Source organism: Homo sapiens, chromosome 3 (assembly GCF_000001405.40).
Source record: "Homo sapiens chromosome 3, GRCh38.p14 Primary Assembly".
NCBI classification, from domain to species: domain Eukaryota; kingdom Metazoa; phylum Chordata; class Mammalia; order Primates; family Hominidae; genus Homo; species Homo sapiens.
Window position 1 is genome coordinate 17,281,578 of NC_000003.12, and position 27,023 is coordinate 17,308,600.

At 37.1% G+C, this 27,023-nt stretch overlaps 1 protein-coding gene across 65 annotated transcripts in view; it reads right to left on the reverse strand.

Moving 5' to 3' along the window:
- Positions 1–27,023, reverse strand: part of TBC1D5 (TBC1 domain family member 5) — a 585,470-nt gene that overhangs the window by 124,416 nt on the left and 434,031 nt on the right. For all 65 annotated transcript variants that reach the window (XM_047449296.1, XM_011534283.4, XM_047449314.1 and 62 more), the window contains 2 exons: positions 26,415–26,557; positions 10,318–10,424 (listed from right to left, as the gene is read on the reverse strand). In XM_047449296.1, coding sequence (XP_047305252.1) covers positions 10,318–10,424; positions 26,415–26,557 — 250 coding nt within the window. The remainder of the gene's footprint in view (positions 1–10,317; positions 10,425–26,414; positions 26,558–27,023) is intronic.

Consider the following 27,023-nt stretch of genomic DNA (forward strand, 5'->3'; position numbering starts at 1 on the left):
AACTTACATTTCCCAATATGGTAATCATATGTGTGCTTGAACTGGATGAAATATACTTTAAAATTCTCCATGATAAAATGTTTTGCTTTTTTGGAGAGAGGGGACAGATAAAATGTCAAAGCATATATTTAAATAAAGTAGCTGATTATTATAGTTATACAGTTTACTACTTGAATATATTGGCATTTCTTCCTATAAAATCAATATACTTAACATTTTAAATTAGCAATAATATATTTACTGAGTTAATATACTTAAGAGGCAAATAAAATATTTATGTGGCCATAACCACTATATTAAAAAAAGTGATGGTTTTTTTGTTCTGTCAGTTTTAAGTTTATAATCTTTTTTTCATAACTTATGATTTGTAATCTTCAATTTCGTTAAATCATAACTTTAAGATGACACAGAAATACTAAGAAGTCCCTTTCTGAACAAACTATTTCATATATAATAAGAAAAATAAGTGATTAGCTAGGTAGTCACAGCACTTAAAGCTGGAAATGACTGTTAGAGATTATAGGCTAATTAAGGCCTTATCAGCCACACATCACCCTTTAAAAAACAATTAATGAACCTGAATTTAAGGCAGCAAAAGGTTGAATGATTTCCCTGGGGGTAAAATAGCAAGTCGGCGGTAAAGGAGGGCAGCCACTTGATTCCTTGACCTCAGGGATATAACACATTCATTTCGCTGTAATGCATTTTAATACTTTTCCATTTGGGGCTTCATAGACTTTCTGAACACACATGCATAGGACTGATAGCTTTAAAGTGTTAAGTAGTCTATTTAAAATAAATATCTCTCCCCAATAACCTAGATTTTCCTTACTTGTAAGACATCAAATAAAATGGAGGAGATTGGTTTGTAGATTATTCTTTGCTTACTGGGAAAAGTTTGCTTAATGAGAACAAGTTAACCCATGGATTTTAGTCTCCTCTTTAGGTATTTAAGGAAAAATAAATCACAATTCTAATGAGTTAAGTTGTGTCTCACTAAAGGAACCTTGTCTTCTAAAACATGCCGAGCAATCATTTCCACAAAGTTTCATTGCTCTCTCAAGCTGCCCCAAATAAAAATCACTAAACATCTCCAAACTGACTTTAAAGATCTAAATAGACATGCTTATTTTCAGCAAATATTGTTGCCATGAACAACTATTACACACAATAAAGCTAAATAAAGATCACTGGATGAGATCCTTTTCACACTGACTTTTCACTAACAAAGAAAATATTTATGTTGAATAATAACATGAAACATTATATAAATTAATGCCAAATAAAAATTTATTAGAGACTCCTTACACATTTCATGGACTTCTAATAATTAGCGTTTGCAAATGTACAAGGTATTAAGGGCGATATAGTCATTCTTTGGGTCTCTGAGGCGGTCACTGAGTGACTCTGGATAAAGAACGGCCAGGCCCTGCCTGGTTGCTTACTTCAGAAACTTCTAGGAATTCTACTTCCTCTGTTTTCTCAAGCTGGGATAATATCTCCCTGCAAATTCTTCAAAGCCCAGTTGGAATGTTTCTTTCCTCTAAGAAACTTTCTGACCATTTAAGTCTGAATTGATTATTCTTTCTGCAGTGGTGTCTGTTGAACCAAACTGAATCTTGCTAAAATAGACCCCAAAGGGTCCATTGAGATTATGTGGTCCAGTTTCCTCATTCTACAGTTCAAGAAATGAAGTGACTTGTCCAATAAACGCAGCAGGGTGAACTTCTCTCATAGAGCAGACACTGGGTTAGTGCTGTTGGAGATCTAGTACCTGATGCAGTGAAGCTCTCAGTTTGGTAGATGAGAAAACTGAATGGTCTGGTTCCCTTGGGTTCAACTACACAGAGGAGCATGTTGACATAAATGAAAGCAAAACTGACTGAGACTGGTGGTATACAGAAGGCAGCTAAGATTATTTCTTAAAAGATCAAAGTAAAAGAATTCAGAGTCGTGGCCACAGTATTCTTAAACAATAACTTATTGGCCTGACCATGTGACGGCCAAGAGGTGTGAGTGAGTGTGCTTACCAAGGGAGAAATTCATTTAAGACTACTTGGAACTTCCGGCTAAGAGCAAAAGTAGTTTATAATAAGAAAATGTCTTAATCATTGCCAAGAATCACCGAGAATCCCGTAATCTTTCTGAAATTTCAAACTGTGATCTTAAAAATGAGTTTACTTTTTATCCATCAGGTAAGACTGCATAGGAAGAACAAACTAATAGCAAGCCCTCCCTAGCTCATCAACCACTCTCAGGCACGTTCCCCTGGTCCTGGCTCCAATGATACTGGTCTTTCAATTTCACCAATAGCCTAAGCTCTTTTCTGCTTTCGAGCTTTTGCATTTGCTATTCCCCTTCCTGGAGGTTCTCGTCTCTATTCTTTGCCTGGCTGGTTCCTTTTCCTCCATTAGCTGCCACCTGAAATGGCACCTCCTCAGAAGGGCTTTTTGACCAACCTACCTAAATTAGGTCTTCTCTCAGCCCAGATTCTACCCTCACTCATTATTTTACACACACACACACACACACACACACACACACACGTATTTTTAATTTAGACAGAGTCTTGGTCTGTCACCCAGGCTGGAGTGCAGTGGTGCAATCTTGGCTCACTGCAACCTCCACCTTCCAAGTTCAAGCGATTCTCATGCCTCAGCCTCCCAAGTAGCTGAGATTACAGGCCCCTGCCACCATGTCTGGCTAATTTTTGTATTTTTAATAGAGATGGGGTTTTGCCACGTTGGCCAGGCTTGTCTCGAACTCCTGACTTCGAGTGATCCGCCTGCCTCTGCCTTCCAAAATGCTGGATTACAGGCGTGAGCCACCACGCCTGGCCATATTATTACCCTATTTGCGCCCTTTATAACACATCATAATCTGTATTTTCTTGCTTAATTGTTTATTATGGTAAGAGCCATATGTATTTTTTTTATATACCATTATATCACCATGATTTAACCAGTACCTGGTGCACAGAAGATACACAATAAGGACTGGTTAAATTAATGAATTCAAAATACTATAAAACTAACTCAAAATTATTTAAGGCCCCTAGGAAAACCTTAAAGTATTTTGAGAAACACATGATTCTTATTATGAAATGTCTGAAACCAATAAATAATAAATTTCAAATACTGGTTTAATAAAGATTTTCATATTATTCCTTACAAATCTTTGTTTTAGAGCCAGCATTTACTCAGAAGTAAAACTTAACTTTTTAGAAAATGCTAATCTATGTCAAAAAGTCTTTATTTCTGATTGGATGTGAAAATACACCTAATTAGTCACTAAATACCTAAATATCAACTATAATAAACATCCAATTGGTTGTGATCTAGTGATAGAAAAGAAAAAGGAAATATTAGTCACACAGCTCAGAAACAAAGAAAAAACAGCTTTTGTTATGTCACAAACAGAATAAACACAAAAAAATAATTTGAAGAATGGCAGTTTTCTAAGAAATGCCCAGTTTTGGGAGTAAAAAAAAAAAAAGATGAAAATAGGAGTAATGGAAACAATCTTGCTGTAACATAACATCATCACAAAAAATTGGATTAGTAACATACTAGAAAATCTGAATAGACCGTCTGCTGGAAGCATTATGAAAAGTAAATAAATGGATATAGTGCATCATCCTCAAAGAGTCACTATACGTGGATTTTAGATTCTTTTTTTTTTTTTTTTTTTTTTTTTTTTTTGAGACGGAGTCTCGCTCTGTCGCCCAGGCTGGAGTGCAGTGGCGCGATCTCGGCTCACTGCAAGCTCCGCCTCCCGGGTTCACGGCATTCTCCTGCCTCAGCCTCCCGAGTAGCTGGGACTACAGGCGCCCGCTACCACGCCCGGCTAATTTTTTGTATTTTTAGTAGAGACGGGGTTTCACCGTGTTAGCCAGGATGGTCTCGATCTCCTGACCTCGTGATCCGCCCGCCTCGGCCTCCCAAAGTGCTGGGATTACAGGCGTGAGCCACCGCGCCCGGCCGGATTTTAGATTCTTTATTGCTCAGAAAGAAAAAGATTACAATGGCATTAAGGAAAGGAACATTTTCTAAAATTGTCACCTGACTGGCAGCAGGCTTAGATCCATCCACTACTTTTCAAGTTTGATGTGACATTTTACCAAAGTTATTTATTTGATATTGACAAAAATGTTGTATGTATAGTGAGATTTCTTGGAATTAAATGAGTAAAAATTAAAGTACCTATATACAATTTGAAATTTGAAATTCAGACTTTTTGTAATTTAAAAAGACAAAATTTAATATAACCTCAAGCAAGAACCAAATCAGAACTGGCCAAGCATTGTACATTGTACATTATATTTTTATAGTGTGTTTCTGTGTACAAGAATGACTATGAAATTAAATTCTTATTTCTAGAAATTTTCTTCCATAAACAATAACAGTCAATGCTAAAAGGACTGCTTGCCAAGTTACTAGAAATATTTTTTCCCAAATATTCTAGTCTTCAAAACAAATGGTAGCCGTCAAATTCTTACTGCATAATCTAAAATGGTAATACATGTACTGTATTTCATTTATAATAAGTCTTTATGATAAGGTTAACACTTCAACACACAACACAAATAAGAGAACACCAAAAAATGAAAATTACTTTGCTTATGTTTCTGTATTAGAATTTTATTTGCTAAAGGGTAAAAACAGATTTGCAAAATTCACCGTTAACTTAAAACAATAGTTTTAAACCTTTTTTCCTAGCCCTTACTGCCTTCAGGAAGGAAAGAACATCTGGTTATTTAAGGAACACAATATGCTCACATTTTCTATGACTTTTGTTTCTAATTGGGTTTTAACATTTTTTTTGAATGTGAGCAACTAGCTAGAACAATGTTTTTTAATCACTTCATATTTTTCAGATTGTCCTCCTTCTATCCCTCTAACTTCATCTCATGGATTGTTTTTGGAAATCTGCTTAGTAGTTCTAATATGATAAAGACAAGAAAATGAAAATTAGGGCTGTGGTCTGAAGAGCTAAGTACAGAAGTTGTATTTACCATGTGCAGACTATAGGATGCTAAAAACAGATATTTGATATCCAGTCTTCATAAGGCATACATTTTCAAAAATTTCAACTAGTTCCTGGGCCACTTACATATATGGCAGTTTCATTTATTACAGATGAAGAATTTCTATGAGAAATATGTAAGTAGAGGTCCACTATTTTTAAAACTAATAAAGCCACAGCTCCTGCATGGAAAGGTGGTCTGAGGATGGGGGTTCAATTGCTGGTCTGCCACTAAAAAGCTCTGTGACCTTGAATAAGTCTCTAAGCTTTATCTTTGTTCTCACTTTTTCATCTATGAAAGGAGAAGCTGGATAAGACTGTCTAGGTTCTTTGCAGTTCTAAAACTCTGACAGCCTAAGGGAAGTAAATTAACTAGATTCTTTGCTATGTCTTCTGTATTCCATAATATATGACAGTAGTAACAGGATTTTAAATAATTCTGATATATAGCAAATTAAGGAACTAGATGCTCTTTAAGTTCAAGTTGTATAATTAATTAACTATCTTGATAAAAATGGCAGCTGAAAAATAAACCACTGGCTGTGGCTTTTGTGGAATGTGAACATGGGTTCCAGAAATATTCTCGATTAGTGATGTTCAACTAGATTAGAGTCAGTGTGGTGAACTGGAATGAGGCATGGCACTTGAATCAGAAATCAATTCTATCATTATTTCCTTTATACCAAGATATGCAGGACACAAAGCTGAGTGCTAAAAAATGAGCAGGATCCAGTCCTAAGGCGTAATAACTTACAAAACACACATGCATATATACAAGGTGCCGTGGGAACTCAAAGGAGGACATGTCCTATCTGAACCTGAAAATTGTTTCATGGGGAATGCAGAACAGACGCCAGGAATCCGAGGAGGGAATGAATAGATAGAACAGTCATGATGCCACTCTAGCTAGCTTGGGAGCTTATAAGCTTTTTGACCTTGGGAAAGCCACATAAACTTAACCTCCTCCCTACTGAAAAAAGTGAGGAAAGATAACCTGCTCTGCCTACCTCATAGGGTTGTTGATTAATGTCAGAGTGCTTGGAAAACTATGAAGGAGTATGATCCTATTATTATAGTTTTTAGGCCTACTTTTTTCTATCTATTCAAATAAGAAATCTTTCCACAGTAAAGGCTATCTCTGATATAAAATAATTAGAACCTTGTGTCTCAAGCTATACTTGCAGAATGTATTCTCCACTGAGCAATTTAGGGATGATGGTAGGATAAAGCGCTTTTCTGAAGGTTTACAATGAACCTACTAAGGCTCAGAGCTCCTTGTTTGATTTTATTGAACCTGTTAGCAGCATTCAACACTACTATCATATGAAACTAGGAAATGGGAAAGAATGCTTTCATGTCTCAAATCTCATCTTTCTACTAGTTAATTTCATTGAGAATTGTATGTTTATATACTTACTCTGATCTATGTGATTCAGGAATGATTACAGTATTTTTAGTGTTTCACTGTTGCTATTAATAGAAAACATTTAAAGCACTATGATGTCTGAATTTTTAGAGGCTATAGGCAGGTGTACTAGTACCATCTTTCCCTCTTTTTTTCCCCCTTAGCATAAATAGCCTCTTTTATGACTTTATAATTGACATTAACAACACTGAAAACCCCGTCCACTTGTGGATTTCTATAGAATAGATAAACTTGCTGTTTTTCTCACTTTACTTTTGCAGCACTGGGTTGGACCTCGTTAGTTCATTGTAATGGTGGCAGAAAGCAGATGAATCCTAAGTAGACAGGGATGGGTCCCTGATGAAACCTGACCTTCCAGCCAAAGACAGTTTAAAGCCTAGCTACAAGTCCCGGGGTAAATCCATGGACTGGTTTGAAAACCCGTCTTCCTGTTTGCCATGCTTTTCTGATTGATCCCCACCCTTCACCTATTTTACATACACCTAACCTTTCCTAATTGGTTTTTTACACTGTTGTGCCCACCTCTAAGTGGTGCCTTTGTTTTAGCCATTTTTTGCATACTCACAAACCAGTCAGCACACACTCCCCATTCTGAGCCCATAAAAGCTCCGGACCTAGCCACATGGAGAGAAACCACCCAACTTCGGGTAGAGGACCACCCTTGCATCCCCTCTCCAGTGAGAGCTATTTCATCACTCAATAAGATATTTCTCCACCCTCCTCACCCTTCAATTGTCAGCATGATCTTGTTCTTGGATGCAGGACCAGAAGTAGGGATCCACTGAACATGGGTACACCAAAGGCTGTAACAACTGTGGTCCTCTACCCTCCGCTGGCAGAGGGTTGCGACCCCTTGTGATGGGAAGCAGCAGCAAGGCCGAACCAGCCCCGGAGCCATGAGCCAGAGTGAGGCAAGGGACTGACAGAGCTGTTAACACGCTGCAGTCCACTGGGTTGCGGACAACAGGACTAAATGAGCTCATCAGCATGCTGTAACATCCCCTCTGGGGCTTCGGGGTTGTGGGCACCCCTGCCTGGGCACCACTGTGTTCCCCTTATCTGGATGCCAGAGTCTACCATGGGAGTGGCTTGCAACACACCTGGTCCAGCTGCAAGCCCCGCATGGAGTCTGCGTCTGTGCTGGCACTCAGAACAGCTGGCCAGACCCTGCACTCGCTTGCCCATGCACCCCCTCCCATTGGCAGCTGAGCACACAGTCACAGCAGCCACAGGATCCGGGCTGGTGTGCAAACCAGGCATGGTATGGCGGGCCGAGTGGATGTAGTGCCTCCTGCGGCAGGCCCAGGGCTGAGTGAGGCCCTGGGTGGGAATGTTGCCTTCTGTGGAGGTCCCCAGCTGGCAGAGTGACTGAGAGAGATCCTGCGTCAATTCAAAGTCAGTTCTTGACCATCCTGGCCAACATAGTGAAACCCCATATCTACTAAAAATACAAAAATTAGCCGGGTGTGATGGTGGACACCTGTAGTCCCAGCTACTCAGGAGGGTGAGGCAGGAGAATCGCTTGAACCTGGGAGGCGGAGGTTGCAGTGAGCCGAGACCACACCTCTGCACTCCAGCCTGGTGACAGTGCGAGACTCCATCTCAAAAAAAAAAAAAAAGTCAGTTCTTCAAAGACAAAGGATGTTCTGCTTACACAGGTCATCAGAGACAATTTAATTCAACCTCCAAATATTACAAAAGAGAAGCCCAAGGCTCAGCAAGCATGATTTTTCCAAAATAATGAAGATGTTGGTGGCAGAGCCAAGGTTTGACCCAAGGTCCCAATTCCTAACTCAGGTTCCTTACGGAACACTACACTGCCACAGGCCCATATTAACACACGTGTCAAGTGACTTTAGTTACTACTTAAAATCTGTAAAATGATGTTAATGAGTCAGCCACATATACACTTAACTATATCTACCATTTTGCAGGGTTAGCCATCTGAAAGCCCCTTTTCAAAGGCTACACAGCTTTCTTTACTTTTCCTATAGATATCATCATTCCATGAACTTATTCTACTGAGCCTTTTAAATATGACTCCCTCATCATGCCCAATTTATTATGTCCCAGGAATATCAGTTTAAGGTCATTGTACTGATCATGTTTTTACTTGGTAAGACTCTGAATGTGAAGGTGGGGAATTCCCTTTTTTGGATACACTATTATTTTTTTCTCTTAAACCTTAAAGAATCTATATTTTAATGCTTATAGAATTTGCTTCATTATATGTACACGACTTTATTGAGATAAAAAGTACTCCATTAAAATCATACTAACATGAAAGGGCATTTAGGTTCCACTAATAAACACTGATGAACTTAGAATAAAGAATTCTGAAGCTGGATGAGTGAGTGATTCACAGAAACATCAACCATATTTAGCTAGGGAAAAATTACCAAGATCGATAGGTTTTGATAACATATTCATTTCTTTCTTCAATTAAAACAAATCATGCAAGTAGAAATTTCAAATTGCTATTTTAGCAATGTTTTTCACTCTGTATGATTCTAAAAATTCCTAATGCTAAGCTGATAGAATTTGCCCTAAGTCTGTAGATCAAAACTCATACCTCATTGACCAGTAACCTCATTCGTTAGTCTTATTTGACAGATATTTTGTCATCTTGTGGGGTTTTTTTGGGGGTGTAGGGAGTATATAGTCATACAACTTACAAATACATATGTACATAAAATATAAATATGGAACTTTCAATTTTCATAGTCATATTCATAAGCCTTACCAGAAAAAAGTATGCTTCCTTATACATCGGAGAAATAATGGATTATATTTCTGATGCTTAATGAAACTGCTTTGTGTAAGAGAAATGATATGAAAGTTCATAAATTTACAGAACAGATATAGGCATAAGGAAGTGAATTCTTTTAAATCAATCAAAGAATAAAGGATATACTAAAAGGTTGAAGTCAACAACCAAGGAAAGGACAGAAATCCTTTAGAATCTAAATTTACATTAAACTTGGAGGCCCAAGTTGATCAGACAGAGCTTTGGCAATGGAACCCACAGACAGACTGACTGACTCAGAGACAGTTCGACAACTGCCAACATGACTGTTGGGAGGGTTGCCAAAGAGCCAAAGGCTGGGATTACCATCCAATGCCTGGCATTCTGATATTCGTGTTTGAAGCTTTCTCTCTCATACTTCTTCCAATATTTTTGTTTGGCTCAAAAGTAGCAAGGATTCACAGATTTTTTTAGATCATTAAATGTTCTTATTTTCAAGAAATATAACATTAGTTGTAAAAGAGCACACTTTTTCTCTGAAGTGTAAAGAAAATTTTGGTGAATTGCTTTACGCTCAAATAGAGAAATCAGTGTTAAAGTCTGTTTAAATCTTTATTTTATTAGATTACTCTTAACCGCCCAAATAAGAAATATTAATACATATCATAATATGAAATAATTTAGTGTTTCATTGTATCCAGTCTTATAGAACTGGTCCTTTGTATAAAGCTACTTTCTTGATCTTCATATGGCCCCCAAGGTTCTACTTGGATAAATCAACCCCTGTGTGGGGTACCAATGACAATACAGTTTGGCTGTAAGGAGAGGTAGTTCCTCAACTATTTCCTTGACTTGTGAGGAAGGGAAAAGCATAGAATAACCTTCTGTGGGAAAAGAGACATGTGTTCCAGTTTCTCATGGCAAGGTCTACCTAATTTGCCTGTTGAGTTGCTGGCCAATGAGGTATATGGGTTTTGGCCTACAACTTTAGGCAAATGCTACCATTAGGCAATTCATCTACCATTAGGCAAATTCCACATTTGGAATTCTTAGACTCTACACAGAGAAGCCTATTTTTCACCCAACTTAAAATTATGCATACCCTACTGGGGAAGCTTACCTTTGGATCTCTAAGGAACAGAGCCTTAAGAATCAGTGAGTGTACATCCCCGATGAATGGGTAATGCATCAGAAGGCCGAGACAGGTCTGGTAGTTACTAGAGATCACTAAATAAGAAGAAAAAATAATTCAGATGCAATACTATTTAAGATATTCTGCATTGCTGAGAATATAAAATCTAACAACTTAAGAGTCAATGAAAGCAAACCAATAACTCAACTGATTTGATAAAAGGGAGTAGGAAGAAGGGATCTTTACCAAATTGCCTTTGAAGGAACACATTGTATTGTTAACTGCTATCTAATGTATTAGCACTTAACCTCAGGGGGTGCTGGAAAGAAGAACTTCACATACAGATATTTGTACATCTGCAACATAAATTCTCAGAACCGTGCATATTTATTGCCATTTATATGGCTATGTTTAAATGTCTCCTGTTTTTCTACTTAGAAATTAGTAATAAAAGCCATATGAATGGAAAAGAACCAGTTTAAGATTTTCATGAAATAATATTTACCTTATTATGCATTACAACTTGTTACATTTTCTTTTGTATAGGTAAACATTACGTAACTCAAAATTTAAAAAAGTAGAATTTCTTCTAATTATTTGTTTTTCTAAAGGTAACAAGAGATTTAGGGAGAGAATACCTAAGCAGCATTTCTTGGAGGAAAAGTGTCATAATTGTCATAGGTTAAGTCTAAATGTGTTCTGTAGCCTGTCATTTAATTTTTTTTTTCAAATCAACCTAATTATGGGTGTAATTATTAAACACATCTTTTCAGGCAGGTCTATGTAGACTACTTTACTTCTTGACAATCTTATCTGCCACTGCTGTCAGAGTCAGGCCCATTAACAATGCTTGCTTTATGAACCACACTGACTGCCTCCACAGCACTGACTGTGAAGAAACTTTACAGTTTTAACTTCTGTGGTTGCAAGTGAAGTTTTTTCACTAATCAGTTACTTGAAAAATGTTCCATAAGAAAACAACTGTGATTCAATAGAAACAACACAAATCAAAAACCAAACATTTATAATTAGAAATATCTTTGATTTTTAGATTATTTTTTCTTCTGCTGTTGGAATACCATTTCTTGCTATAACTTCCTACTTCTCCCCCTCCTATAAGCACTATGGGGAAAGGAGACAGGACTGGGCAAAATGAATAATTATAATCTATGTAAGGAATCACTTTATCATCTTCATTTTCATTGCTGCTATGACAGCTTGTAATTTCATACATCTGCTTTCATTTGTAAAGCACTCACTTATCCTACCCTTTCTGTGTCTGTTCAGACTCTCATTTGTTCATGTTTTCATATTTACCTTCAGTTACCTGCTGTCCTTTTTTTCTCCAGAAATTCAAAAAGCTAAGATACTGAGAACAGTATAATGGTTTTATGTACAGATTTCTTTGAGATCTAGCAAGTAATTAAGACTTAATCAATTCACCTTATAACTCAAAAAGTAATTATCTATTAGTAATTGACCAAGAAAGAATTCTTATATATTTTGTAAAGAGGCAGGAAAATTTTGTGGAAAAGTTTTGATCTCATGACTCACAGATGTAGGTTTGAATCCTGGGGCTTTATTTGAACCTTTCATCAAGTTGCCTAAAGATTAAATGATATAATCTATGAGACTGATTAATAGCAGCTGTTTAAAACCAGTTCAGGTAACCTCTGTGAGCTTAAGTTTAGTCACTGGGAAAACAACTTTTTGATTGAAAAAATTTATTTGACTGCTTTATTCAATCCAATAATTATTCAGAGTACCTCATTCATGACAGGCCCTATGCTAGGGGAGCACGTAGAGATAAACAAAACTGAGTCCTTACTCTGGAGAAAATTACAGCCCAGAAGGGCAGATGTGTAATATCAAGCAGCTATTACTACTAATATAACTAAGATAACAGTGAATTATTAAAGCTTTCTGTAGCCAGGCCACATGCTAAGAACTTTACCTACATTATCTCAATTAATTTCTATGACATTCTTATAAAGGTACAATTATTATCTTTGTTTTACAGATGCAATAATTGATACTTGGAGAAGTTAAGTCACTTGTACAAGTTACCAGTGATTCCCTAGAGGGGCAAGATTGGAAACCCAAAAGTCTAGCTGCAGAGTCTGTACTCTATTACAAGACATTTGTTTTGAAAGGCCATTGTTTTGAAAATCAAGAGACATAATGGATGCATATTGTAAAGTATTACTACTACTCTAGTGAAGCAGTTTTAAGTATACTAGAAGATCAGCATAAACCAATCTCCAGAAAAGCTTGATTGATTGACTAATCATTTATTTATTTATTTATTTATTTATTTACTATGTGTTTTCAGAGACAGGGTCTTGCTCTGTCACCCAGGCTAGAGTGCAGTGGCATGATCACAGCTCACTGCAGTCTGAAACTCCTGGGCTCATGCAATCCTCCTGCCCCAGCCTCTGGAGTAGCTATTACGGACTAGAGAAGCATACTGCCATGCCTGGCTAATTTTTAAGTTTTTTGAAGAGACAAGCTCTTGCTATGTTGCCAGGCTGGTCTTGAACTCCTGTAGAACAGACTGATTTAGATATAAACATATAGATAGATAGAGACCAGAACAATAATCCTGTTTTCATAACTTGTTAAAACTATTGAAGCTATCAGAAGCTATAAAATATATAAGGGAAGCCAAATAATGTATTAATATTCTACTTGCAAAACAAATGAGGAAGCTAACATTCTTTCATCTTTCTATCCATCCATCCAGTCACTGCATGCAATGAGCATTTCCTGAGCATCTACTAAATGCCAGATATCCAGAGACTATGCTAGGCACCTGCACTAGGAATATAACAGCAAATAAGTTCACTGCTTTCAGATAATGGTATCTCTAATTTGCTAATGAAAATCCACACTTTTAGAAATACCCTTAATTTGCAATTAGATATGCTAAGTATTAAATCTCCTTTTGAATAACTACAGCCAGTTTAAAGTAGGTAGAAAAGAATTACACAAGCTGATTTAAAAACAAACTAGTAAGGATCTGACACAATAAGAATTTAGTTTTGAACTTCACAGTAAACTTTTTTTGAACATGAAAAACTAATCTGTAATAGTGTTCTTTTCCCAATATTTATTCTATCAAAGCAGGGCAGAGACATGAAGTAAGAAGTGAAAGATTAAGAAAAATTATTGAGTTTTGTTATCTACCTACATGTAAAATGAAGTATGTTTATGCTTTAAAAACAAAATAGTGAAGGCACATTCTAAAGAGTTGATTTAGGGAAGGTAAAAGCAAAGGTAAGTAGTACCTAAGAAAAGATAATGGATTTGGAATGAGAACTAGATTAGATCACTGGCCTAGTCACTTATAATATGGTGAATTTAGGCAAGCTGCCCAACTTCACTGAAACTTTATTCCTCCCATTTATAAAATAGAGACAATCCTGCTTACTCTATCTACAGGGTTTCTGTAAGAGTGGGCCAGCTGCTATATGGTACATTTCCCCATCTTGCTCAATTCATCCTTGATGAATAGCATTACCTCCATATGAGGCAGAGCTGACTTCTCTGTCTGAACCTTTATGTGCCCCACAACTATTCTGGAGTGGTCTGAAGAGATGGTTTACTTTCTCCAGCAGGTACAAACAAACCAAAAGTGAAATCAGTAATGATATGCAGAAAAAGTAACTGTTTTGAGAAAGTTTAAAGCAATGTGGATCAATAACTTACACATAATTCAAAACTAACCACACTTACAATTGTAATGTTTGTAAATACATGCAATACTTTTTCAAATTATTTAAGTTCATATTGAGATATACTTTCTTTCTCAGCATAATAAAACAGAATGAAAACTACCACAAAACACGAAACTCTATACAGACTTTCTTTAATTTCTTGCCCGACTCCCCAAAAATATCACTTATCAAGTACCTATAATATGCCTGAAAACTAGTCATACATTTTATAAAGGTCTCATGAGTCCTCCTAATTCCCCCTAAGGAAAGCATTATCATTGACTCTCTATTATAGCTGAGATAGTGCAGAGTAGGTAACAGCACAGCCAAGGCCACAGAGATCCTGAAGGGCAAAGACAGGGCTGAACCTGGGTCTGTGTAGACTGAAAGCCTCACACACCACTGTGTCTTATACTTTCCTACATTCTTAGCAAGTTCATGACAGGGGTATCGGTACAAACTGAAAAAAGTCCTCAGTGTCAAAGGCCAAGAATAGCAAATATTTAGAAATAGGCATAAATTCTTGTTTCTAAAAAGCTATAAAAAGGCATATAAAAACAAATAATCATGGATTAAGTATAAAATAAAATGAGCTAACAAAAAAGAAAACCTTCTTTCTTTTAAAAAAGGAAAAAGTTTTTCTCATAGTTAATTGTACTTGACTGAAAACAAAGCCAATGTGCAATGAAAGTGCCTTGCCAGACACCTGGCATAGAGAAAACATTCAATAAATGTAATGCTCTCTGAAAAAAATATTTGTTGAGAGCCTACTACATGCAGGAAAAAACACATAATTACTGCCTGCAGCATCTTCACCTTTATTTAAAGGCCCTTACTATTTTGACTTTCCTAAGTACAAATGGCAAGAAACAAAATGTGATTGCCAATGGACCAGAAAACAAGTGGTCAGTGGGAGGCTGGGGTACAAAACATAAATAGAAACAACAAAATTTTACTCTCTTCAGTTTTGGAGAAAGCCAAAAATAAAACACAGTCATATCCCCCACAAAAAGTGGTTTAAGTCTAGTGTTTAAAACCCTTGTAAGATTTTGTCTTTCTGGGTTTTCTTCCTCAGTTGGCTTTGTGACAACTGCCTCTTTGAGCACCATTCAATCACTACAACAACCATCCTTGAAACCTAAGACCAACACATACTCTTATGTAAACACTTGGATACTCTTTGGTAAGTCCTTATTATTCTAGCAGATTTTGTGCAGAATAATATAAGACTTTTAATTTCACTTTTAGGAAAGAGGACAATCTCAAATTCAGAGTAGTTCACTGTTTGGGCTTGGAAAAAGATTTAAACAATTGTTACTTTTCCCACTTAATACACTTTAAACAGAATCTCATTTAATAAGAGATCAAGCAATAACATAAGAGATCTTTACTCAGTAATTTCTATGTTTAAATAAATAGTGCTGCCAACTGGAAGGCAGTAAGTAAGCAAGTATAAAAGTGCAGAATTGCCAGTGGCTAGTGTGTGAGCAGAGAAAGATCACTGTATCAGAAAAGTCAGAATGACGGCATGTTAGCTCCAGGAATGCCGTTTGTACTATGAACTTTGAAGGATATCAATTAAGTGCACAGGCTTCTGTTTTCTCCACCTTCTCTAACTCCTTATCGACTGAGGAAATCAAATGAGATGATATAGCGTAAAAACAATTTTCTTGGCTAGGCGTGGTGGCTCACGCCTGTAATCCCAGAACTTTGGAAGGCCAAGGTGGGCGGATCATGAGGTCAGGAGATTGAGACCATCCTGGCTAACACGGTAAAATCCTGTCTCTACTAAAAATACAAAAAAAGAGCTGGGCATGGTGGTGGGCGCCTGTAATCCCAGCTACTCGGGAGGCTGACGCAGGAGAATCACTTGGACCCGGGAAGTGGAGGTTGCAGTGAGCCCAGATCACACCACCGCACTCCAGCCTGGGTGACAGAGCGAGACTCCTAAAAAAAAAAAAAAAAATTTCTTTTTTGGAGACACATCTCATTCTTGTCAACCCAGGCTATAGTCCAGTAGCATGATCACAACTCAATGAAGCCTTGACCTCCTGGGCTTAAGTGATCCTCCCACCTCAGCCTTCCTAGTGGCTGGGACTATAGGCGTGTGCCATCATGCCTGGCTAATTCTTTTTTTTTTTTTTTTAATTGAGACGGGGGTCCCACTACGTTGCCCAGGCTGGTCTTGAACTCCTGGGCTCCAGTGATCCTGCTGCCTTGGCCTCCCAAAGTGCTGGGATTACAGGCATGATGAGCCACTACACCTCGCCAAAACAAAGTCTTTTAATGCAAACTGTGAACACTATTGTAGTAATTAAAGGTAAGTACTCAGAATCAAAGCCCAAGTTCTACCTCCGCATCTGTAAAATGTCATGGAAATGAAGCCTGAAAAAATTGGTGGGGATTAAGATTTAGAAAATAATCAGTAAGCCTGATTCATACATTTGACTCTCTTAATTTTAAATTGAAATGAAGGAAAACCATAGGTTGGGAATTAGTTATATCTGAAAATAGACATACATACACTTTATTTCATTGTGTTTTGTGATTTTTAGTGCCTTAATCAGAAATATACATTGTCAGTAAAAATGGCTGAAGTACACAAGGTATTTAAGAAGTGCTGACAATATCTTTTTTTTGTGTTGGACTGTATTCATTCATTTAATATTTATACTAAACACCTGTTTTATTTAAAATGCTGAGTTAAGTTCTAAAGACATGAAAAGAATTTTTAAAATCTCAACTTTCTCTCACATTCCAGTGGAAGAGAAACATAAAATTAACTGCAACCTAGGGTAGGGCTGATAATAATGATACATACTAAGGGCTGTGATAATTGCTAAAATGGAAGACTTTAGGGTCAGTGAGGTGTCGGCCAACAATATGTGGAAGCAAACAAAGGCAGACACTGAGTGGCTCCTATGGCAGGGGTGATAAGGAGAAATGGGATGTATGGAAGGAGAAAGTGGGTGGAGGTCTTACTTGTATATGAGGGAGTCACCAAGATGTCCTTCAGTAGGTGAATTAATAAACAATCTGTATTGTATCTAGAAAATGGAATATTAGTCAGCATTAAAAATAAATGTGCCATCAAGCCATGAAAAGACTCAAGAGGAAACTTAACTGCATATTGCTAAGGAAAAAAAGCCAATCTGAAAAGGATACAGACTTCATTCATCTGACTATATGACATTGTGACAGTAAAAAGATCAGTAGTTTCCAGGAATTAGAGGGAGACAGGGGATGAATAGGCAGAACACAGAGGATTTTTAGGATGTGTTCTGAGACCCCCAGTGGATACCTGAAACCTCAAATAGTATTCAGCCCTATACGTACTATGCTTTTTTCTATACATACATACCTATGATAAAAGTTTAATTTATAAGTTAGGCAATTTATAAATTATGGTAAAAGATTAGCAACAATACCTAATAATAAAATAGAACAATCATAAAAATATGCCAGCATCGCTACTCTTGAGCTTTAGGGCTTTAAGTAAAACAAGGGTTACTTGAACACAAGCACTGTGATACCAACAACAGTTGCTTTGATAATCAAGATTGCTATTAAGTGGCTAAATGGGCAGGCAGCTTATGTGGTGTGGATATGCTGGACAAGGGAAGATTCATGTCCAGGGCAGAACAGAGTGGGGTGGCTACAGATTTCATCATGCTACTCAGAATGGGATACAATTTAAAACTTAGGAGGTTTTTTTATTTTTGGAATTTTCCATTTAATATTTTTGAATCTTGGTTGGTATCAGATAACTGAAATTGTGGAAACTTAAACTGCAGATAAGGAGGGACTGCTGTATGTATGATACTATAATGATGGATACATGTCATTATACATTGGTCCAAACACACAAGAGTGAACCCTAATGTAAAACTATGAACTTTGGGCAATAATGCTGTATCAATGCAGGTTTATCAAGTGTAAAAAATGTGTCATTCTGGCCGGGTGCGGTGGCTCACGCCTGTAATCCCAGCACTTTGAGAGGGCGAGATGGGCGGATCACAAGGTCAGGAGATGGAGACCATCCTGGCTAACATGGTGAAACCCCGTCTCTACTAAAAATACAAAAAAATTAGCTGGATGTGGTGGCGGGCGCCTGTAGTCCCAGCTATTCAGGAGGCTGAGGCAGGAGAATGGCGTGAACCCGGGAGGCGGAGCTTGCAGTGAGCCGAGATTGTGCCACTGCACTCCAGCCTGGACGACAGAGCGAGACTCCGTCTCAAAAAAAAAAAAAAAAAAAAAAAAAAAGTATCATTCTGATGTGGGATGGTGATAGTGGGGGAGAATATGGGTATCTGGGGGAGTGGGTATATGCAAACTGTATTTTCCACTTAGTTTTGTGCTGAACCTAGAACCTTTCTTAAAATCCAATTCAATAATTCAATTTTTTTAAAAAAGGAAACATTAAAAAAGAAACCCAAAATAACAGACAATGTGCTACTATGGTATATCAGCCTTTGTTAGTGAAACATGAGGAGACTGTTAAACTAAGATATAAAGTAGTATAAACGGTGTTTGTAACAGGGTACATTAATATAAATATCTGATATAATCATAAAAACAACTGACACCATTTTATGTCTCAGAAGGAAGAGACCTAGTAGTCAGGAAGTGCTTAAACATTCCTTCAAAAATAAGACTATCAATTTGTGCTTTGATAAAACTTTGTGACATTACCATATTTAAAATTTGTAATCACTGTTAAGCAATGCTTTTCCAGAAAAGACAAATAAATACAATTTGTAGTTGAAATAAATGCATTTTGACATCAATATGACATTGAACATGCTGTTAACTAGAAAATAGAGAAATAGAAATTCTGGGTTAGGACAGAGGGAAATACTGGCAGACAGACAGTGGCTGAAGAATAAGTAGAGATCTAAAATGAAATCAAAAGGAGTAATATTTGAAATCACAAAGAGGCCACAACTGCCATGCCATGCCAGGCCAGGAAAGGCTAAAGAAATCCCTATCAAAAACAGAGGAAAATTATAGTAGAGTATTGTAACATGCTTACGCTGGCTGAAAAAACAAGGCAGGAAGTGGGTAGAAGTGCCAAGAAGGAAACTTTTCCATTTATGGTGTTCAAAGAGAAAGTACATTTAAAAAGGCAATAAATATTTGAGAAATACTTTCTTTTTAAGAAAATCTAGGCCCGGCGTGGTGGCTCATGCCTGTAATCCCAGCACTTCGGGAGGCTGAGGTGGGCAGATGACCTGAGGTCAGGAGTTCGAGACAAGCCTAGCCAACATGGTGAAACCCCGTCTCTACTAAACATACAAAAATTAGCTGGGCGTGGTGGCATGCTCCTGTAATCCAGCTACTTGGGAGGCTGAGGCAGGAGAATCACTTGAACCCGGGAGGTGGAATTGCAGTGAGCCAGATGGCACCACTGCACTCAGTCTGTGTAACAAGAGTAAAACTCCGTCTCAGAAAAAAAAAAAAAAAGGAAAATCTATAAATAAATTTATAGTGTTTTAGCTATTAATGCAATTTACAAGACAAATAAAAGGTATGTTATGTTTAAAATAGAGACAATTTTTTATAGTGTTTTAGCTATTAATGCAATTTACAAGACAAATAAAAGGTATGTTATGTTTAAAATAGAGACCATGTTTTTTGATACTAGTCAAAAACAAAATAAAATGAACAAAAAATAGATGTGAAAATTTCAGCTAGTTTTAAAAGTAGGCCATGCTTTCTTTGAAGAAGCTATGCTGAAAGTATATTTTCAAAGAATCATTATTTATTTGTGTTGTTCTAAGAATGAGACTAGCACTTGTCTTCTTAGTAATCACAGCACACAAATCCACCCCTCCAAGGTCTCTATGGTACGTTCTGGCCTGGCATTACCCCAAGTACTATATTAACTGAGCACATGAAGAGCTTCAGATGCTTTTAGAGATATGAAAGAATTGTAATGTGGTTCTGGTACCAAGGAAGCTCACAATCTAGTTGAGGAGATAGGACCAACACCCACAATAACTACGGAAAAATGTAAAATAGAGTATGACTAATGTAGCACTTAGTTAGTGGTATTGATGATGATCTTATAGGATTGCAAAGTGTGAAATCAATGAGAGCTAGAATAATAGGAAAAGATTTGGGAAAAAGGCTACCTTGCCCTAGGCCTGAAAATAGGAGTAAGATTTAGGTAGGTGGAGCCAGGGGAAGCAAGGAATCACAAGAGTGACTTACAATATGAAATAAGTCAGTTAAAAAATAGTGTGGTGGGGGTATCACCATTCATAAACTATTACAGGAGTAATGGTTTACGATTACTCTCACATTATTTCTTTATTGCTCAATGTTTCTTTCTGTATATAATTTTAATCCATATAATTCAGCAAAGTAACAAACACTGGGTGGCTTAAAATAACAGAAATTTACTGTTTCACAATTCTGAAAGCTAGAAGTCCAAAATCAAAGTTTTGGTAGGACCATGTTCCCTCTGAAACTTGTAGGGGAGAATCCTCCTTGCCTCTCCTGCTTCTGGTGTTAGCAGCATGTTTCTTCTGAAGAGGAAAAATTTGTTTCCTATTTCTCTCCTAGCTTCTGGTAATGGCTGAAAATCCTTGTCATTCCTTGCCTTGTAGATAATATCACTCCAACCTCTGCTTCTGGCTGTCTTCACACGGCTTTCTTCTCCCTGTATATACCTTCACATTGTCTTCCCTCTGTGCATGTCTCTTGCCAAATTTCCTTCTTCTTATGAGGACACCAGTCATATTGGATTAGTATGACCTCATCTTAACTAATTACATTTGCAACAATCTATTCCCAAATTAGGTCACGTTCTCAGGTACTAGAAGTTAGGACTTCAATATATCTTTTGTTGAGGGGGGGGATACAATTCAGCCCATAATGGGCCTTATTATCTGTACCTACAAAATCAGAATTTTGGACTAGATGCAGTGAATCTTATCTATTTTTGGGGGATGTGTTCCTTTGAGAAACTGATGAAAACTATAGACATTTGACCCAGAGAAAGGCATACCTACACAATATTTTGCACACTATCAGGATGATCATAGACCCTTTGATCCCCATCCACTGAATCCCTAGAAGACATGCACCCCAAGGAAGGCATGTCATCACGGAAGGAAGGCTCTTTTAGTTTCCCTCAGATGAAACATCCTCTGAGCATCCTACAAAAGTAGCTCCAAAAGAACATATGTAATGCTCAGAGCCTGGTACAGTGGTGTTCACTTAAGATTTATTGAATGAATGAGATTTAAACTACTAAGTGTAACTGAACATCCCCACTTTGGAAGCCCTAGCAAGACATTATGAGTCAGAATCCACTGGCATGAAATAAAAACTTGACACCAGTGATTTATTTGGAAAGCTGGGGCTGGCAAATTGCCCACCTTCCTCTCAGTTCTTGACCATGGCCAAAAATATAAGCTCATCTAATTAGTCCTGACCTCCCATGCAACTCTGTCCAATCTGGTTCTCTATCCCTTTTCTTTCTGCTGCTCCCCTCTATCTCAATCCTTTTCTCTAGGGAACAATGTCTTTCCCTCTAAGCCTCACCCTCTCAGAGTCACTGCTGCCTCTGCAACCTCCAGATGTGAGGTGGAGGACCACCTTGCTCTTTGATTCTTCCAAACTATTGCTTCCTATCATTTCATAAAACTTCTTCCTTTGAAGTTAATGCCATGCCTCTATGCATCAATCATGTCCCTGCATCACTATCATCTATGTACCATATACTGGTAAACACTGGTTGAATGGTTGACTCTGAATAATTGACTGGTTCAATAAAAGCTGTTTTCTTGGTCACTCTTTTTCATTTATTTGAGGCTATGGTGCCAGGCTCATTACATTTCCTTCTACGCCTTTTCCTATTAGGATCCTTGGTGAAGTGTCCATGGAGAACTAAAGTAAAACCCCAGTTTCCTCACAATCCCTTGGTCTTCAAGAGACTTAAATTCCCCTTCACGTACTCCAACCATACCAAGCAGATCTAGAACTGCTTTATGTCGGACCACAACTTTGTATGCATTTAGCTTTCTCATGCTCTACCTCACCCAATTCTTTGATATATTCAATTTTCCCTAATCTTTTCCTGGCTGTGCTTCCCTCTTTATACATCTTAAACCACTATTTTAAAAAACACTCAACACCCTCTACCCTCCTATCTCCCTTTAGTCCTGCCTAATTCATTTGGAAGCCTGGATCACAATCTACCTCTTTTTTTTTTTTTTTTTTTTTTTTTTTTGAGGCCAGGTACCACTTCCCAGTGTTTGTCTCTGTAGGATCTTCAACAGCTACACATGGTTTTTTCTTGGCTCTTAATTAGCTATCTTTATCACATCTCCAAGTCATTTCCCACAAACCACTAACCCTACTCTGCCTCACTCACAGTGGATAACCTTGTTTCCTCCTTTATCAGATATGGAATTCCTCCATTCTCTGTCTTCTCCACTTATGAACTGGATTACTTGTGAAAGCAGCCTAGTGCTTTCTTCCTGCATCAGCACCAGCTTTTCATTCCTGTTCCACAGCCAGTCTTCCACAGGACTCCAGACCCAGTTCTTTTCTATTGCCTCTGGGCCCTTATTTCCTCAATCATTTTACTCAAAAAATATTTTTCTGGAGGTTTACTATGCCCTGGGCCCAATTCTAGATGCTGGTATATGGGAGGGAAACCAAGACAGACAAAATCCTGTCTCTCACTGGGGAACAGGGATTAGGGGTGGGGTGTGAAGAACAGACAATAAACAAGTGAAAGCTTCAAAACAAAGAAGATATTTTCTCTTTTCATAGATCTTTTTTTTGTTTAGACAGGGTCTTGCTCTGTCACCCACACTCTGGAGTGCAGAGGCGCAATCACGGCTCACTGCAGCCTTGACCTCCTGGACTAAAATGATTCTCCCACCTCAGCCTCGTGAGTAGCTAGGACTACAGGCACAAGCCACTATACCCGGCCAAATTTTATTTTTTGTAGAGATGGGGTTTCACCACGTGTCTCAGACTGGTCTCAAACTCCTAGGCTCAAGCAATTCTCCTGCCTTGCCTTCCCAAAATGCTGGGATTACAGTTTCGAGCCACCATGCTTGGCTTTTTCATAGATCTAATTCATGGAACAGGGTGGGGAAAACTAGTGCTGATTCTTGAAGTAGGAACTCAGACTGGTTTGAGAAGTAAACCTCTCTATCAGTTCTGCCCTGCCTCCAATGTCTAACGACAGCCATCCAATCTTCCTTGCCCCTGCACTGTCCTCTAGCTACATCGTTCTTCTTCCTTAACTCAAAGATCACTCTATATCTGCTATCTCCATATTCTTTGTTTTTATTTAGTTATCTTTTCAGTTGAAAAAGTAATGCATATATTAAAAACAAACAAACAAAGAAAACCAACAACAAAAAGCTGAAGAAAAGACTACTGTACTTCTTAACTGTCTATTCACTCTTCAACCCACCATAATCCAGCTTCTGCTCAACCAGTCCATTGAATCCACCCTGGCAAAGGTATCCAATGACTGTCCCTCCACAGTTCCCAAAGTGAGTGGACTTTTCTCGCCTTGTGTTACTATTCCTGGGCACTCTTGACCTTCTTTTCTCTGCTTGGCTCAGACAGTTCTCTGGGGTTACAACACAAACTAAGCTCTTCCTTGGCTTCTTCTCCTCTGGTGCCTCTGAAATGCTTATGTTAAACCCAGTTTCACCTTTGCCCATGTTCTCTTTCCATATGTACCCACCTTAGGTAATAGGACCATATAATTTTTATGATCCTAATGTGATGTCTTCAAGAGTGAAAAAGGACAAATAATTACTATTCTGGGATAGCAGGTGTAAACCAAGACTATCCCAAACAAACTTTGATATATAGTCACCCTATTCTTTGCAGGTGGCATCTGTGGTGATGGTTTTAACAAACACCTGTCAATCATTTGCAAAATTAAATCTGTAGCCTTGACACTGACATTTAACTTTATTTTTCAAATCTTTAGGTTACAATTTCTTATAAATATCTCAAAACTCAGCAAAGTCAAGCCCAGTTAATTATTAACATTCCTAAAACTTCTTAATCCTTGTATTTTCTATCAAGTTATAAATATTTCCCAGTCACTCATACCTCCAAGCTGGAGATTCTTCTAGATTTCCCATTCTCCCTCTCCTATCATATTTAATCACTAAATCTTGCTACCTTTACCTCTGAATAGTTCTCTGATCCACTGTTTTTCTCCTGAACTACCATCACAACTGTTAACTGATGTCCTTGCTCTTCTCTCCTTCGATTTCATCTTCCCCATTGCTGCTAAAGTGATCTACAAGTGATCACATTTCTGCTTTGGACATTTCAATAGCTCCCTATCACTTACCATAGGAAGACTGTCATCATGACCCTCCTGTTTCTTTCTTTAGTCTCATAACCTGCGGCTAGTCTCTCTCCCTTTGTACTCTAATAATACCAAACAGCTTATAGAAACACATTAATATATACATCCCTAATAAGCTGCTTTTCACTTCCAGGCCTTTGTTCATGCTGTTCCTTCTGTCTTGTATGCAGATCCTCTTATTTGGCTTGCCAACACCTGCACAATTTTCTCTATTGACTCACAGCAGCCCAGAGGGGAGCTAGGTGCCTCTCCTTAAGTTTCCACACTACCTGTCCACATCCCAACTATAGTACCAAATATGTTCATTTGAAATCATTTATGTCAGTCTTCCCTACTAGTTGGTAAACTTCTTGAGGACAGGAGCAGTGATCTGTAAATACCTGACAAATATTCATTCTATTTTTAGGAGATCTCATCCACTGTTACAGACTTAAATAACAAAATTAAAATAAGTTGGGTTAAATATTGAAATAAATAAATCACTTCATTACTTCTGTATTTTTCTACATTTTATAAAGTCATCAGTGAAAAGATGAAAAATGTGTAAGGACTTCAGGTGCCAAAAAATTTGCCATGTTTTATAAAATGATAAAAGTAGGTCTTAGAATAGGAGACAGGATGATTAAATTAAAAATATATAGTGGTAATGTGCCAAAGTCAAAAAAGAGCAAATTGTAAACTGTTTACAATTACAGAAAATCATAATACTTTTCAGCAGTTGTTTGATTTGGAAAATTTTGCATAAATATTATCCAAAGCATTCTTTTTTCTAGAAGAGGTTTCTCATTCCTTTTATTATTATTTATATTAAAAAATACAACTTAGAGGTTAGTATTGAATATCATAAAATCCAGTATCCATCAAATCTACTCAAATATCTTTCTCTACTTTCCTGATGTTTCCTCTTACGACTTCCATGTTCTTAAATGATTAGATCTGGCTCAGAAGGAAGAAACTTTCACTTTGAGAAAACCTAAACTATTTGACCTTCGAGGCACAGAACAAAATCTACATTTTTTGGATAAAATGTGGTGCTCCTGTCACTTATTTAAGTAATTTTGGGAAATTAAAAAAGTATAATCTAAAATTTTAAAGAAAATTAGTGTTACTAGAGGCATAACAAGAGCATCTGGCACAACTGGTATTCAATGAACAAATAAAGAGAACAACATAACAATTTAACAGTCGCAATTATAAATGATTCTAAAAAGTGTATGTTCTTCTGACAAAGTCTTACTTTATGTTAGCTACCTATTTCCTAATTCAATCACATAATTTTGTGCACTTTTTCCTAATTATATTTTGGCTAACAAGTTCTATTGTGTGAACTTTTGATTACTTCTCTGAGACAGAAAACAATTTTGAAGTATTTTGAAATTTAAAATACACACCGATATTTTCTTCAAGCTAAGAACTATCAGACTATTCGAAAGGGCTAGACACTGGCTTTCCGGTTATTACAGACACCATAACATACATCTGAGGAGATGGGAACACGTCTACCATTCAGCACTGTACTGAGAAATGTATTTTTCTAAAATATAACTGGAAGAAAGTTAAAATACCTTTAAATGTATTTGTTTTTTTAATTAGCAAGGTGTTGATATTATAAAAATAATTCCAATCTCCTGATAAACATCCTTGAATATTCCCTACCTGTCAGAAGGTGGAGCTCTAAACATATCTCAAATACTTGCTTTTATATATGCATTTCACAACTGTGTGTAATGAGGAGATTAAAGCAGGAGTAAAGTCTTTAGAAAAATGGTTCTGAAGAATATTCTAATTCTCTCAGGATAAAATGACTCACATCTCCCAATGTGTACACAGTTAACCAACAAAAGGGATGTTTAGTATATTCCTTTGAAATTTCAGTATATTACCCTACTACAAAAATTGAGGTACATGCAAATCAAATAATAAAACACAAAGTCTATTTAAAAGGCAAAACATTTTTGAAAATCAGGAGTACCTAGTCAAATGTAGGAAAGGTCATTAATACTTACAAGCATCTCGGATGTAAAGTAACATGGCTACGAAGATATAATCTACTAAACCCAGGCTGAGGCCGTCTGCAAACAAGGCATCCCAGACCACCAGAAGGTCCTGCAGGGGGAACTCTCGTCCAAATAGCAGCCGCACCCACCTTCTGGAAAGAAACAAAACAAAAATTCAGAAGACAGTACTTTTGAGAATAAAGAGTGATCATTTTCTCAAGTAACTGTGAAAAACTATTAACTGAACACAGTGAGCAAATATTATATATCAAAAATATAATATAGTAAAATCTATATTTTAAGCTTTCAAATGAATTTTATAATTGTATAACTAGGCCATCATCATTAAATACTATTATATACACACGTATTATACATATATATGAAAAAAGTCAAAATCTTTCATATTTAATAGAAATCACAAATTCCCAAAAGGTGAAGAAAAAATGAATGTTTAGTAGTCTGGTAGTTGCTTCCATAGGTAAGGTTGTAAGTTAAAAATAAAATTTTCCAAAATTTCATGATCTCTACTGATTTTCTGTTGTTGTTAATTGCCCTTCTGCAAATATTTGTATGACAAATCCAATAGAAACTTAGAAAACTGCGTTCTCACATCTC